Source organism: Homo sapiens, chromosome 11 (genome assembly GCF_000001405.40).
Source record: "Homo sapiens chromosome 11, GRCh38.p14 Primary Assembly".
Taxonomy (NCBI): Eukaryota; Metazoa; Chordata; class Mammalia; order Primates; family Hominidae; genus Homo; species Homo sapiens.
In genome coordinates this window covers 75938227-75952955 of record NC_000011.10, presented here as the reverse complement: position 1 = coordinate 75952955, position 14729 = coordinate 75938227, and the positions used below count along the sequence as shown (strand labels likewise).

The following is a 14729-nucleotide window of genomic DNA, read 5'->3' as shown; positions in this document are numbered from 1 at the left end:
AAATCTAAAGAACCACCATCTGTTAAATAAATTATATTTGCAATTAAAAATTTTCTCACATAGGAAACTCTAGGCTCAGATAGCTTCACCGGTAAAATGCCAGTAGCATCAAAAATCTTTCCAAGAAGAAGAAGGGATGCTTTCAGTTTGTTTCATGAGGTCAACATGACCCTGATACCAAAACATGACACGAACACTATAGGAAAAAAAAATTATAGACCAATTATTATACATGAACATAAATGCAAAAACCATTAATAAAATGTTAGCAAATCAACTCTAGTAATATATGAAAAGGATAAAGCAACTGGATCAAGTGGGTTTATCTGAGTAGGTTATACCATTCTGTTAAACTGACTGATTTTCAAATACTATACAAGGTTGGTATAATATTTGAAAATCAATCAATGACAGAATGAAGAAAAAAGATCATAATTATCTTAAAAGATTCAAAAAAAGAAGCATTTGATAAAATTTAATACCTGTTAATGGTTAAAAATAAAAAAAAAACCCTCAACAAACTAGGAGGAAAGGGGAGCTTCCTCAATCTGATAAAAGGTTTATAGAAAAAAATCTACAGCTAATCCTATACTTACAATCAAAAACAAGGCAAAGATACCCACTTTCATCACTCTATTCCACATATACTCAAGGTCCAAACCATTGTAATAATGCATTTTAAAAGTAAATAAAAGCCATAGGTATAGGAAAGGAAGAAGCAAATCTACTTAAAGGTGCTATGATTGTGTATGTAGAAAAATCCAAAGAAATCTACAATCCAACTACTAGAACTAATGAGTAAATTCGGCAAATTGCAAGAGTTTAAATTAATATATTAAAAATCAATCAGTGTTTCTATTTAATATCAATAAATAACTAGGAATAAATCTAAAGAAAGATGTGAAAGACCTGTACACTGAAAACCATAAAACACCGCTGAGATATTAAAGAATATTTAAATAAATGGAGACATATATCATTTCATGGATTGGAAGATACGATATTATTAAGCAGTCAAGTCTCCCTAAATTGATCTAGAGCCAAAGCAATCCCAATCAAAAACCCAAAAGATTTTTGTTTAATAGAAATTGGCAAACTGCTTTTAAAATTGATATGCAAATACAAAAGACCTAGAACACCAAGAAAATGTTGGGGGCGGGAAATAGCTGGAGGGCTTACACTACTAGATTTTATGACCTATCATAAAGCTACAGTAAGTAAGGCAGCAGTAGTTACACAGAACTAAACAAACAGATCAATGAAATATAATTTAGGGCTGGGTGCGGTGGTTCACGCCTGTAATCCCAGAACTTTGAGAGGCCGAGGTGGGCAGATCACCTGAGGCTGGGAGTTCGAGACCAGCCTGACTAACATTGAGAAACACTGTGTCTACTAAAAATACAAAATTAGCCAGGCGTGATGGCACATGCCTGTAATCCCAGCTACTTGGGAGGCTGAGGCAGAAGAATTGCTTGAACCTGGGAGGCAGAGGTTGTGGTGAGCTGAGATCGCACCATTGTACTCCAGCCTAGGCAACAAGAGCGAAACTCCATCTCAAAAAAACAAACAAACAAACAAACAAACAAAAAATATATACACACACACACACACACACACACACACACACACATTTCAGATTATAGAAAGAATCATTCATACATACTCAATTTTTTAATAAGGAAAAGAAAAACTTTGTCAACAAATGGCAGTGAAATAACTTAATACGTATATAGGAAATAAATGAACCTTAACCTGTACCTCACCTCATACACACAGATTAATTTGAGATGGATTAGGGACCTAAATGTAAAAGCTAAGACTACAGTGCCTCTGGAATAACACATAGGAAAATATATGCAAAAACTCTGACTAGGCAAAAATTAGTCCTAAGGGCATTATTGAGGAAATGAAAAAAAATCAAGTCATGACTGAGAAAAAAACACTTGGGATATGTGTGTGTGTGTGTGTGTGTGTGTGTGTGTGTGTGTGTGTACACCTGACAAAGGACTTCTATCCAAAATACACAAAGAATTCCTACATAAAAATAAAAATATAAACAACCCAATAATTGAGAATAGGCAAAATATTTGAACAAACACTTCAAAAAATAAGATACAAGAATGAGCTATTAGCACATGAAATGGTGCTCATAACTTTAGTCATTATAAAAGTAAAAATCAAAATCAAAATGATACACTACTACAAGCCTATTATAATGGCTAGAACTTACAAAACTGGCAATACCAAATGATGGCAAGAGGTAGAGCAACTGGAACTTTTCAAACATTGCTGGAGGGACTGTAAAAATGTATAACTACTTTGGAAACCTGTGTGGCAATACCTAATAAGTTAAATATACACCTCTCGTATAAGCCAACAGTTTCACTCTCAGGTATAATGTGGGCTGGGTGCGGTGGCTCATGCCTGTAATCCCAACACTTTGGGAAGCTGAGATGGGAGAAATCACTTGACATCAGGAGTTTGAGATCAGCCCCCAGCAACACAGCAAGACGCTGTCGCTAAAAAAATTAAATTAGCCAAGCATGGTAGTGCGCACCCATTCCCAGCTACGTGGGAGGCTGAAGGGAGAATCCCTTGAGTTCAGGAGCTTGAGGTTACAGTGAGCTATGACTGCACTACTGCACTCCGAGCCTGGTGACAGAATGAGTCCCTGTCTCTAAAATATCAAATAAATAAATAAATAGGAGAAAGCACATGACCACAAAAAACTTGTGTAAGGTGTTCCTATCGGCTTTATTTATAATAGCCAAAAAGTAGAAACAATCCAAATATCCATCAACAGAATAATGAATAAGCAAACTGTAATATATTCATAGAAGGAAATACTGCTTCACCAGTAAAAAGGAATACACTGCTAATCTATACAAGAACATGGATAAATTCCAAAAATTGTATGTTAAACAAAAGAAGCCAGAAACCAAAAGAGTGCCCCGTATGACTCCACTTATAAGAAGTTCAAAAACAGGGAAAGCTAATAAATGATAAGGCAGTAAGAAAAGTGTCCCAGGGATGGGAATGAGGGTGTCAGAACTCTGGCAAATGAGGGAACATTCTGGATAATGAAAATACTCTATACCTTGATTTAACAATGGCAATACAGGTGTGTATATTTATTAAAATTCATCAAACTGTGTGTATATGTGTGTGTGTGTATATATATGTGTATATATGTATACATATGTGTGTATATATATATGTGTATATGTGTGTGTGTGTGTGTATATATATATATATATATATATGTATTTTATTGTATATAAATTACACTGCCAAAGAAAAAGAAAAGAATGTTTGCTGGTATATGGCTTGGGGAACCAGAAAAAATGGTGATGCTATTTACTGCGATGTAGAACACGGCAGCAACAGTTTGAGAAGAAAGTTCTATTTTCAGTTGGAGGTGCCTGTGTAACATCCAAGAGGATGTGTTGAATATGAGTTGAATATAAAGATCTGTTGCTCAGGAGACAGATCTTGGCCAGAGATAAAAATGTGGCAGTCATTAGCACACAGATGGTTATGAACGCTATGAAAGTGAATGAGATCACCCTGAAGACTGCGAGAATGAGAGTAAACAGAACCTAGAACAGAATCCAGAGGAATATCAATACTTAAGAAATTAGGGGGGAAAAAAGTCCTGCAAAAAATTGTGAACCAGAATATCCAGGGAGAAGCAGAAGGACAGCTGGGAGAGCTGGTATGACAGCAGTTAAAGGAACAGCCCATCAAGGGAGGAATGACCACTGTCACAAAAATCAAGCAACCTAAGGCCTAGACAGTTTCTACATATTTAGCAGCAACGACTTAATTAAAGCCATTTCAAATCCGTTCACCTCACCCCAGATAGACTGCCACCTAGCCAATAGCCCCTAACTGGTTTCTTAGCTTCAACTCTTATTCTTCTCAATTCTATTCTGTTCTTAGTACCAAAGAATCCCTGTTCTTCATTTGCTCGGTTACTAATTGTAGTTTATCTTCCCCAACAGCATCCAGAACGCCTGCCTTATACACATCTAAAATTATATTTCCTTAGAGACAACTAGAAATATCACAATCCATAAACTTACAATTTCAAAGATTCGTGCTAATGCATCTAGTACCTCACCACTTTATCTTTCTTCTTCTCTGATGGACACTAACCTTTTAGATACTCTAGGCCCTCTAATAGCTAGTGTGTGGTTGCCTACACAGTTCCTTTCATTATGTATCTATGGGTAATTAACATATATGTACTTCTAGTCATGTTGATAACATCTTCCATCGATGATAAAAGGATTTTTCTGGTGTCTAAAAAGGCGTGATCTACATTTTTCTACACTAAATGAATTTTCCATTTTTTAAAGAATTCTATTCAAATAAATCCACCTATTCAAATAAATTTTATCAAATAAATCCGCTCCATGATAGTCATGAATCACTGCAGTGCTCCAGAACTGACATCACATTATATTAGTGCTGCCTTTTCCCTCACTCATACTTCCTGTGTTCAATCACCTAAACCTATTGATTCTTCTTTCCCAATGCTCTTATCCGCATAATTTCCTTTTCATCATTCCCACTGTAAGCACCCTGGTTCTGCGTTAATAAAAGGCCTTCCTTTTTAATCTCTGCCCTTTTCAATCCATTTGGAACACTGCCATGAGAATGCTCTCCTAAAACACAGATTTCAATAGCGTCCTTCAAAAAATCAAAACAATGATGTAAGAGGTATGGAGATCTTTTAAGTCTTAGTGTATCAATAATTAGAATGACTACAGGCAAATTTGAGCTCTTTATACAAAAGAAAAAAACCACCATGTACTAGCACCAAATAATCACAAATTCTAAAAAGCTAATATTAGATGTTATTCTTTGCTTGAAAACAGCTCAGGGCGATTTAAATAAACATTTAAACTCTGTTGTTTTAGCCTGGCAATTCAAAGTCCAATGAAATCTAGCTCAGGCACAATAGTATTAATATTTACCAGAAACCTGAGGCCTAATACAGTGCCTGGCACATAGAATATATTTATTTAATAATTCGTTGGTGAATGAATACATATTTATTTAGTGCTGGCTATGTGCCAGGCACTAAGCTAAAAACTTGAAATGGATATTTCATTTAATTCTCACAAAAATCCATAGACGTAATCATTCCCGTTCTACCTGTGAGAAAACTGAAGCTGGTAAGTGGCAGAATCACTATTTAAACCCAGGTTTGTTTAACTCCAAAGCCCGTGGTCTTCACTGCTTATTTCCCACCCACAAACCCATCGTTCCTAAGCTAATCTTGTCATCATCTCCCCACAAACCTTGGCATCAGTAACACCTTACATGTTAAATAATTTTAGTTTCCAAAGTGCTTTTTCACAGACACATTATTTAGGTTAAACCTTCCAAATATATGTGTCCAAGCTCAGTATTCCTCCCCTTATATATCAGGTTGCTGTGTGCTTTTCTCTTCCATTATTCTACGATTCTATTCATAATATAACTCGTATCTCAACTAAATCTGCTGCTGCATTTTATCCCACTATCTTTGGGGTAGGCAGAATTCTAAAATGTCACCCCAAGATTCCCATTCTCTGCATAATCCCCTTCTCTTGGTTATTAGCAGGACTTATAAACACCATAGGATATTACTCCCAGAAATGTTACTTTACAAGGTGAAGGAATTGAGGGGCTATAATTAAGGTCACGTATCAGTTCACTTTGAGTTAACCAAAAGGGAGATTAGCTGGGTGCTATAGGCTGAACTGTATCCCTTCATCCCCCGCCCCAAATTCATGTTGAAGTATCCTAACCCTTAATGTGACTATATTTGGAAACAAGACTTTCAGGAGGTAATTAAAGTTGATGAGGTCATAGGGTGGCCTCAAAAGAACAGGAAGAGAAAAAGATCTCTCCCTCTCCACACGCATGCAAGAAGGAAAGGCTATGTGAAGTCACAACAGGCAGGTGGCCATCTGTATGCTAGGGAGAGAGCCTCGCCAGAAACTGAACCATGCTGGCACCTTGATCTCAGAGTTCCAGCCTTCAGATCTCTGAGAAAATAAATGTCTGTTGTTAAAACCACCCAGACTGGTATTTTGTTATGGCAGTCTAAGCTGACTAATACAGACGGTAGGTCTGCTCTAACCAGGTAAGCCCTTAAAAGGGACTGGCCCTTCCTGAAAGAAGAGATTTGAAGCATGAGAGGGCCTATAAAGTGGGCCACATGGCAAGAAACTGCAGGTGGCCTCAATGGGGCTGACAGCAGCCCTCAGACCACTATCAGCAAGAGAACAAGAGGCTGAGTCCTATAAACCACAAGGAAGTGAACTCTGCCAAAAACCATGGGAGCTTAAACAAGGACCCTGAGCTCCAGAAAAGAACACAGCGCAGCTGACACTGATTTCAGCCTCATGAGACCATAAGCAGAGAACCAAGTCAGCTGTTCCCAAATTTCCGGCCTAAAGAAGAAACCGAGAAACAATAAAACAGGTATTATTTTAAGCCACTAAATTTGTGGTAATTTATTATCCAGCAATCAAAAACTAATACATTCTTTCAATCCAAATATTAATTATCCTTCTTTCACAGCCATCTCTTCATGATTCCATTTACTGAGCACATTATCACATTAGTCAAAATAACACCTGCACATTATAAATCTTTAGCCTAATTCCTTATCTGATCATGTTAACGTATCTTTAAATTTATTCATTCATCCTGTCTTCACATTGAGCACTTTCTATGTTGCTAATACTGAGTCTAGTGTTAAGAGAAAAAACATTGCAGACAGTCTGTGCTCTCTAAAAATATACCATTTATTTACATATTCATGCAATAAACATTTATTGAAGGCCTAAATGTTCACCATGCCCTCTGTTAAGTAATAAAAATACAGAGATCAGAGCATTATCTTCATAATGCTCAAACTTTGTAGACAACTTGGTTTGTAAACAATCATAACAGCATTATACAGGCTACAACACAGGCATGCATCGGGTAAGGGCTGAACATAAAAAAGGAGCATCTATTCTAGGGACGGGGTCAAGTGGAAGCAAAAGTCTTCTTGGAGGGGGTAAACACTGAGCCAACATTTGAAGGAAAAGTAGGAATTAGCTAGATAAAAAGGGAGAAAGATATTCCAGACAAAAGCAAAAACAAGTACAAAAACAAAAAAAAGGTACCCTAACATTTTCAGGAACTGTAAGCAGCTTAGCAAGGCTGGAGCACAGGGTCATATGGGAGAGGATGGCAAGAGATGAGGTAAAAAGGCAGGCAGAGGTCAGATTATGAAAACCTGGTATATTAGGATAAGGAGCTTTACTCTCAAGGCAAATAAATAAGTCATTTGGAGGCCTGACCACGAGATGTCATGTATGTAGGCTGCAATGCAAAAAGACCAGGCACCTGTAGGTACAAAACAGACCCACAAATTCATTTTGGAAGAGGAAGAACTCAAGTAGGAGCCCAGGAATAGTCAATATTTGGTAAGGGTTGTGGTCTCCCTCAACAGCACTGGGAGCATGCTCCATCTAGACTTCATATCATCTATAATCATTTGTTTTCCGGCTTTCTCCAGCAGTGGATTCCACACTCCTTGAAAACCTAGGCCTATAACTTGGTAGTGTCTGTGCTCCTGAGCTTCCCCGTAGTACTTTGTATATAGAGGCCTTCAGTAACAGACTGTAATAAAGATTACTCCCTTTCCTTCCTCAGAAATACAGAGGGGCACATCTCACCCTTCTCTTAACCCCCCAAAGCACAACAGACACCCACGGAATTAAAAATGATTATTTTAAGATTTCTCTGATTCTATTTTTCTCAGATGCTATGCAATATTTATTCAGTGATAATTAATTTATTTTTTTAGATGTATATCAAGCGTAGAAAAACTCCTGGGAAACTGCCTTGAGAACATTGTTTAATGTTTGTAAACCAGAAAAGACTGATCATTTCTCATTGTAGACACTACATGTCTATCAATTTAATAACCCAACATTTTCTGGCAGTAATATCTCACTGATTATTGATATTGACTTGACTACTGACTAAAGGTTCTGTATCTTTTTTTACTCAGACTGTTGCCCATATGCCAAGCCTCCCTCTTCTGATACAGTTGGTTTTAGGACTCAAGTATAAGACTATATTCTTTTCACAATTAAACTCTATCTTAAAATTTAAGATGAGCTGAATATAATTCTATCTTTCCAGTCCCCAGAGATCTTATTTACTAATTCCGTTACGCAATAATCACTGTCTCTATAAGTTCCACGTTACCACTGCATTAACTTAGTCAATTTTCTATATCTTTGTTCAAAGGCTTAGATTGTGGTATTCTCAAGAGGAAAAACCATGTCTCCCTTGATCACCACTGTATACCCAGCATATTGCATAGTTTCCAGCATGCAGTACTGAATAAACATTTGGCAGGTAAGTAATCAAATGAATGGACATGTTGAAAAAGACTAGGTCAATAGCAGAGCCCTATGCCATGCATTTAAAAATTTCCCTCTAGATAGCAAGTCATCAAGTAGTTACCAGTCGACCTATCTTTTCTGTCATTTAGCTTACACCTCTTCATCTTGCTCCCAAAGCTATCCTGACATACCTTATCAAACACATTATTGAAGTTATCTGTATCTACAAATCTAAGTACCCTTGCAAAATGGATACATTAGTCTAAGATAACTTGTTCTTGGGAAAGGCTCATTAAAGGAGACAGCATTTAAGCTCCAATATGAAGGAAGGGTAGCTAAGACTCTGACAGCTGTATGCAAGGGAACTGCTGTTTAGGGTATTGGGAATAGCTTTTCAAAGTCATTAAGGAAGCAGAGTGCATTACACGTTCAGAACAGAAAGTGGGTTGTGTGCTATAAAACAAAGAGGGCACAAGAGCAATATCATGAGAGGCAGGCTGGAAAGGTTGATCAGAGCTACAGTGCTATAGACTTTAAATGCCTAATAAATTCTCTGCACCTCTACAGCACCTACAGCAGTCTAAGGCACATGGGAATCACTCAAATACTCGTTGATGGATTTATTAAATATGATAGTTTCCCAAAAGACCAGGAGTCTACCCAAAAGCCTGCTTCTACATTCCTCTGTCTAGACCATGCACATAGTTGGGAAGAACACAATCTCATGGTAATGGCATCAAATAAGACAATACTATTGCTTATAAATACTTATAAAATTAACCTACTTTCATGGAAAAGTAAATAGCATCGTGGGTGGGAAAGTTCTATTGAGGAGATGGTAGGTGGTGTGAAAGCATGTGATAATTAGTGCATCAAGTCTAACCAGGATATGCATACCCTCAAAAACTAACAACACTGATGAAGCGACAGTTATAGAACAATAATCAACTCTTCGCATTTCCAATTTACATCTCAACTAACTCATTTCAGGCAAGAAGAACCACATTTGGCATAAAAGCAAGCTAAATCATTCCAAATTTTTTCATAATACTATCCATGTGCATTTTAGTAAGTTTAATTTAAAATGTATTCATTACACAATAAACACACTTGAGGAAGTATACAGAAAAGCACTTCAGAATTAGAAACAATAAACAAAACAAACTACAGATATGGACAAGATTTTTACAATTTAAAAGGAATATTATATACAACTTTAGGCCAATAAATTTAAAAAAAAAAAAAAACAGGAAAAGTGAATGATTTTCTATCAAACTATAAATTACCAAATTGTCTCAATAAGAGGTTGAAAACCTGAATAGATCGATAACTACAAAGAAACTAAAAACGCTACCAAAGTGGGGGTGGGAGGGTGTAGGCCATGATGATTTTATAGGTGCTATAGTATAAATATTTGTACCCTCCCAAACTCATGTTGAAATTAATTGCCATAGTATTGGGAGGTGGGACTTTTTTTATTTTATTTTTTAGAGACAGGATCTCGCTCTGTCACCCAGATTGGAGTGCAGTGGTATGATCATAGCTCACTGTAACCTCAAACTCCTGGGCTCAAGTGAGCCTCCTGTCTCAGCCTCCCGAGTAGCTGGGACTATAGGTGCACACCACTGTGTCTAGTTGGCTTTTCCTTTTTCTAAATCTGTTTTAAGGCTCATAAACTAAGGATACAAAGGACCTTTCATGCTGCTTTATTCAGTAAGCATATGTACCATGAAGTTCAGCACTTGAATACATTTATCTTGACACTAATTCTTCCACAAGCTAAATCTTATTCAACTAGACAATTCGCTTCTTGTCTTCTTCCTTTGTATCCCCTCCTGTATTGTGTCTGATAAACAGCTGTACACTTAGCAAGTGTTTAATGTACACTTAATAATTGTACAATTTTTAAATTGTAATTTAAATAGTATTTTTTAACTACTCAGGTTTTCATCAGAACGGCATTTGAAAAAGAAATTATTAGACTTGTTTACATCTTAACAGAAAGCAGTGGTGTTGAGCTGTGAAGAAAAAACATGGATTTGTAAGTCTCAGAGAGAAAGACTCTCCCGCTGTGAATCTGCTGTTTGTGGAGATCCGAAAGAAAAGCCACCACCATCATGTCTAAACAAGAGGCAAAAGCTTCCACCATGGACTTCAGGGACAAGAAAGAAAAAATATATATTTTATTCAAAGTCATTAGACAGGACAATAGTGAGGTTCACTGCAAGGTAAAAATGACAACACATCCCAAGAAACTCAAAGAATCATACTATCAAAAAACGCACAGAGTTCCAATGAAATTATTCAAGTTCCTCTTTGAAGGTCAGAAAATTGCTGATATTCACACTCCACAAGAACTTAGAATGAAGCAGTAAGATGGGATTGAAGTTTACCAGGAATAAATAGGGGGAACTTATTCAACAATTCAGATATTTTTTCCCTTAACTATTTTCAAAAATAGTTCTTTTGCAATGTAGTATTCAAAACTGAATTATAACTGGCACCCCATCTCTTTAAAATGCCTTACATTTTTAATTCTAGTACTAGTTATTCATTATCATTTGTTTTCATTGCCCTGATCTTTTAGGATCAAGCTTTAGCACCCTTCATATCTTTCTCTCCTTTTTAAAAATTACATGGGTGCAGAGAGAGGCCTCCTTTTCCAGGATTCTGTACTTTCAGGCTTATGATCATAAGAGAGCCAATGCAAGAGTTCATAATGGCCTTCCACCTGGCCCTGAAGTTCCACATCTAAAGTTCTCCTGGACTATGACTTTCACTGTAAGAGGAAGTTTTTCAGAGAACTCATCTGTGGAAACATGACATTTCCTTAATTTGATTCTGAAACTCTGCACCAAAGGAAATAATATCAGGTTGCAGGGGGGAATGTCAGATATGGTGATACAGGTTGACCATCCCTAGCCTGAAAATCCAAAATTCAAAAATGCTCCAAAATTCAAAACTTTTTGAGCATAAACAAGTGGATCAACATTTCCTTCAAAGGAAATGCTCACTGGAGCATTTGGGATTTCAGACGCTCAACCAGTAAGTATAATGCAAATATTCCAAAAAGAAACAAACAAAAAAACCTGAGAAACTTCTAGTCCCAAGCATTTTGGCTAAGGGATGCTCAACCTGTAGTAATGAGTAACTTTAAAGAAGGCTTTTTAGAAAGGAAAACACATTTTAAGATTTTTAAATATCTTACAGTTTTAGAAAAGTTCTAATTTCCAGGGAAATTAATAATAAAGATATGGAGAAGTAGAGACAACAACAAAAATCTGAACAGAAACAGTTGGTTTCATCTATATTCTTGGGTTTACACAGACTTTGGGTAGCTCATAAAAGCAAAGTGAGAAGGGCATTTTTATGCAGTTTGCTCTTGAGTGTAAGTCAATGAATGACTACTTCCTTCACTGAGAAAATCTTGCTTACAAAATGTCAGCTGAACTCAACAATGTGCTTATTAAGGATATTGCTGAAAACATTTTGGCAAAACTGCCTCATTTTTTTTTTTGCAGAATGGTAACAAACAGTTCAGAATGACAGATAATTTAGTAGTAATGTCAAAGGACTTTTTTTGAAGGCAGAATTTTCACAATTAATGATGTCTACTTGTGGAAATACATCAGGCAATTTGATACATTTGACTTTTATAAATATAGTAGTTAGCATAGTGTAGTGGTTAGGAAGGTAGGCTGTGGTGCCAGTGATGGTTCAAATCCCAGCTCAGTGGCTTATTAACCATTAACCAAAAGTCCCGTGCTTCATCTGCAAAATGGGGATAAAAATCATACATTTTTTCAAAGGTTTATTCTGATAACTAAATACTTCAAAAGCATCTACAGTTTTATCACTTGATAAGTACTCAAATATTAGCAGTGACTCTAATTATTACTATCCCCTTACAACCTACATATTTATTCCAGCAAGAATGCCACTGTCCAAAGCACTTGGGGAGTTCTCCACAAAACTTGTGGTACCATCACTGGATATCCTCTATAATGGCAAATCTCCACCTTTGCTAGAGGACTTGGTATTTTAGGAATCATTAAAATTAATCTGGGCTAAATTTTTGTGAATTACAAGGCAATCAAACTGGACAATGACCTTTTAAGTAGAATAGAAAATGTGATAGTATAGTAAATCATTTTTTTAAAATGTTATTAGTTTTAGAAATAACTAGAAAACTGACTCTTAAGTCAATTAAGGTCACCTTTATAGTCAAAGGACCATGATAATGTTAGTACTAGGAGTTATTTTAGAAGTCTTTTAATTCAATGCTCTCGTTTTAAATATGAAAATGAAACCACAGTTAAGATTCAATGACTTGTCCAATGTCTCAAAGCTATGCCAGTTTAGAAAGGCCAAGTTTCTTAATTTCCAGTTCCCTTCTTTCTCTACACCACACTGTCTTCTTTCTTCTTTGTACCATTTGCCTGCTACATTTAGAGTTATGCAAATAGCCTTATTACTGAAATTAGAAAGTTTAAAAGTTGCTGCCAGAAGTTGAAACATTTTCATGGAATCCCCTATTGCCAATACATGTGATTAATTTTGCTCATTTAAGTTTTTGGTATAGTGTTTCAGGATTGGCTTAACGAATTTCTCCATTTGGCCTACTATCTGAAGAAAATGAGTAAACACAGAATTCCTTCTGTATTGGCAGTTTTGTTGCAGTTTTAACTGGACATAAATCAAAATTACCACAGTGTCTCCAAAGGCAAGTTTATACCAGCATACTAGTAATTATAATTATTGAAGTCTGTTCCAAAAAATAAGACACCACACTCTCCTTTTTCCTCCCTTTTCATCCCGTTGGACCTCCAGTTCATTACCAGCCTCACACATTCTCAAATGCCTCCCAAGCCTTTTAATCACTGATAAGCAAAAAGCAATCTGAAGGGGGTGAACACTTTAGACCATATGCTCATGAGGCTTCCTGAGTTACAAAGGGTGTGTATGTGTGTGTGTATGTATGCATATGTGTGAGTCTATGTATGTATATGTATGGGGGTTATTCAAGAACACTGCTATAGTGAAAAAGACATTCAACGGGAAGGCCAAAATATATGGTTCAAAACTCAGTTCTACCAATTTAAGAGCTATGATTTAGAGGATATTATGTAACTCTAAGCTCTGAGTTCTCTATGGGAAGGAATCAGATCATATGAATCTAACTCCCATTCTACTCTGCCTGGCCCATAGTCAGCTTCCCATAAGATTGGTTCAAGTTTCAACAAGAACAAAGAGGACAAAGAAAATGATACAGAGGTAGCAAGGTATGGTCCACACCTTACACTACAGTGTAGAGAAAATTCATTTTTTACCCTGAAGATACTAAAATGATCTTTAGGACATCAAAATGTTAAGAACCAGCAAAATTTATTCCGCATCTGGCCAAAATAGAGTGACAGAGACTGCATTTAATCCCACCTGAAATAACTTAAAAAAAAAAACCCTAGGAAAACATGAGAGGATAGATTTCAAGACTGGCCACCAGACAACTTGTAGTAACATCTGAGAGTAGAGAAACACATGAGGAGAGTTCTACAATTGCCCCGGCTTAATGCTTAGAGAAAGTTTCCAGGCTTCAGAGTAGGGATGGGGATCCCAACAGAATAAGGTGGTCTACCTGAGTGTAGAAGAAAGATTTAGGAGTCCAGGGAAGCCATGAGTGCGAGAGTTCTCAGGGCACAGTACTGAAGAAGACAGAACTGCACACAGAGAACTCCAGAGATCTGCAGAGGGTCACACTCAAATATTCAGCTGAGTACTGATCAGTGAATCATCTGAGGAAATGATCCAAGGCCAGGAAAAGGACAATCTAAAAGGATTAGACAGAGGAAACAAAAAGCAGAGATTTCACAGGACCAGGAACAGGGCCTATTCCTGACAGCCAGAGTATGGCCCATAACTGACGGGCCACGCAATAAAGTACTCAGAAGAGGTTTGCTTCAGGGGTAGGTAAAATTAATCCTGGACTTGATGCTGCTCTAGTACAGGCTGAGGAAGCGTAAAAGCAAGAACTGAAAGGAAGAAAATTTTTCCAAATAACATAACTGTGTTTCCAGAATATTTATAGGAACACAAAAATATCCAACAAACAATAAGGTAAAATTGACAATGCCTGACATCCAATTAAAAATGACTGTATATGCAGAGAAGTAGGAAAATACAATCCAAAATGAGCAGCAAAATCAATCAGAACTGATCCAAAATTGCTAGAGATGACAGAATCAGTAGATAGGGCCATTAAAACAGTTATTACAACTATAATTTATATGTTTAAAAGCCAGAAAATAGACTGAACATATAGTGACA

General features: G+C 36.6%; 1 protein-coding gene across 9 annotated transcripts in view, besides 1 other annotated feature; it reads right to left on the bottom strand.

Annotated features, from left to right (window-relative positions):
* UVRAG (UV radiation resistance associated) overlaps positions 1-14729 on the bottom strand; it is a 329023-nt gene that overhangs the window by 191277 nt on the left and 123017 nt on the right. The window lies entirely within an intron of this gene.
* Positions 6325-6424: an enhancer, noted in NCBI's record as "active region_5282". NCBI's record gives its function as "activates an Ori minimal core promoter by ATAC-STARR-seq in GM12878 lymphoblastoid cells {active_cell/tissue: GM12878}" and the evidence as "EXISTENCE:reporter gene assay evidence [ECO:0000049][PMID:35858748]".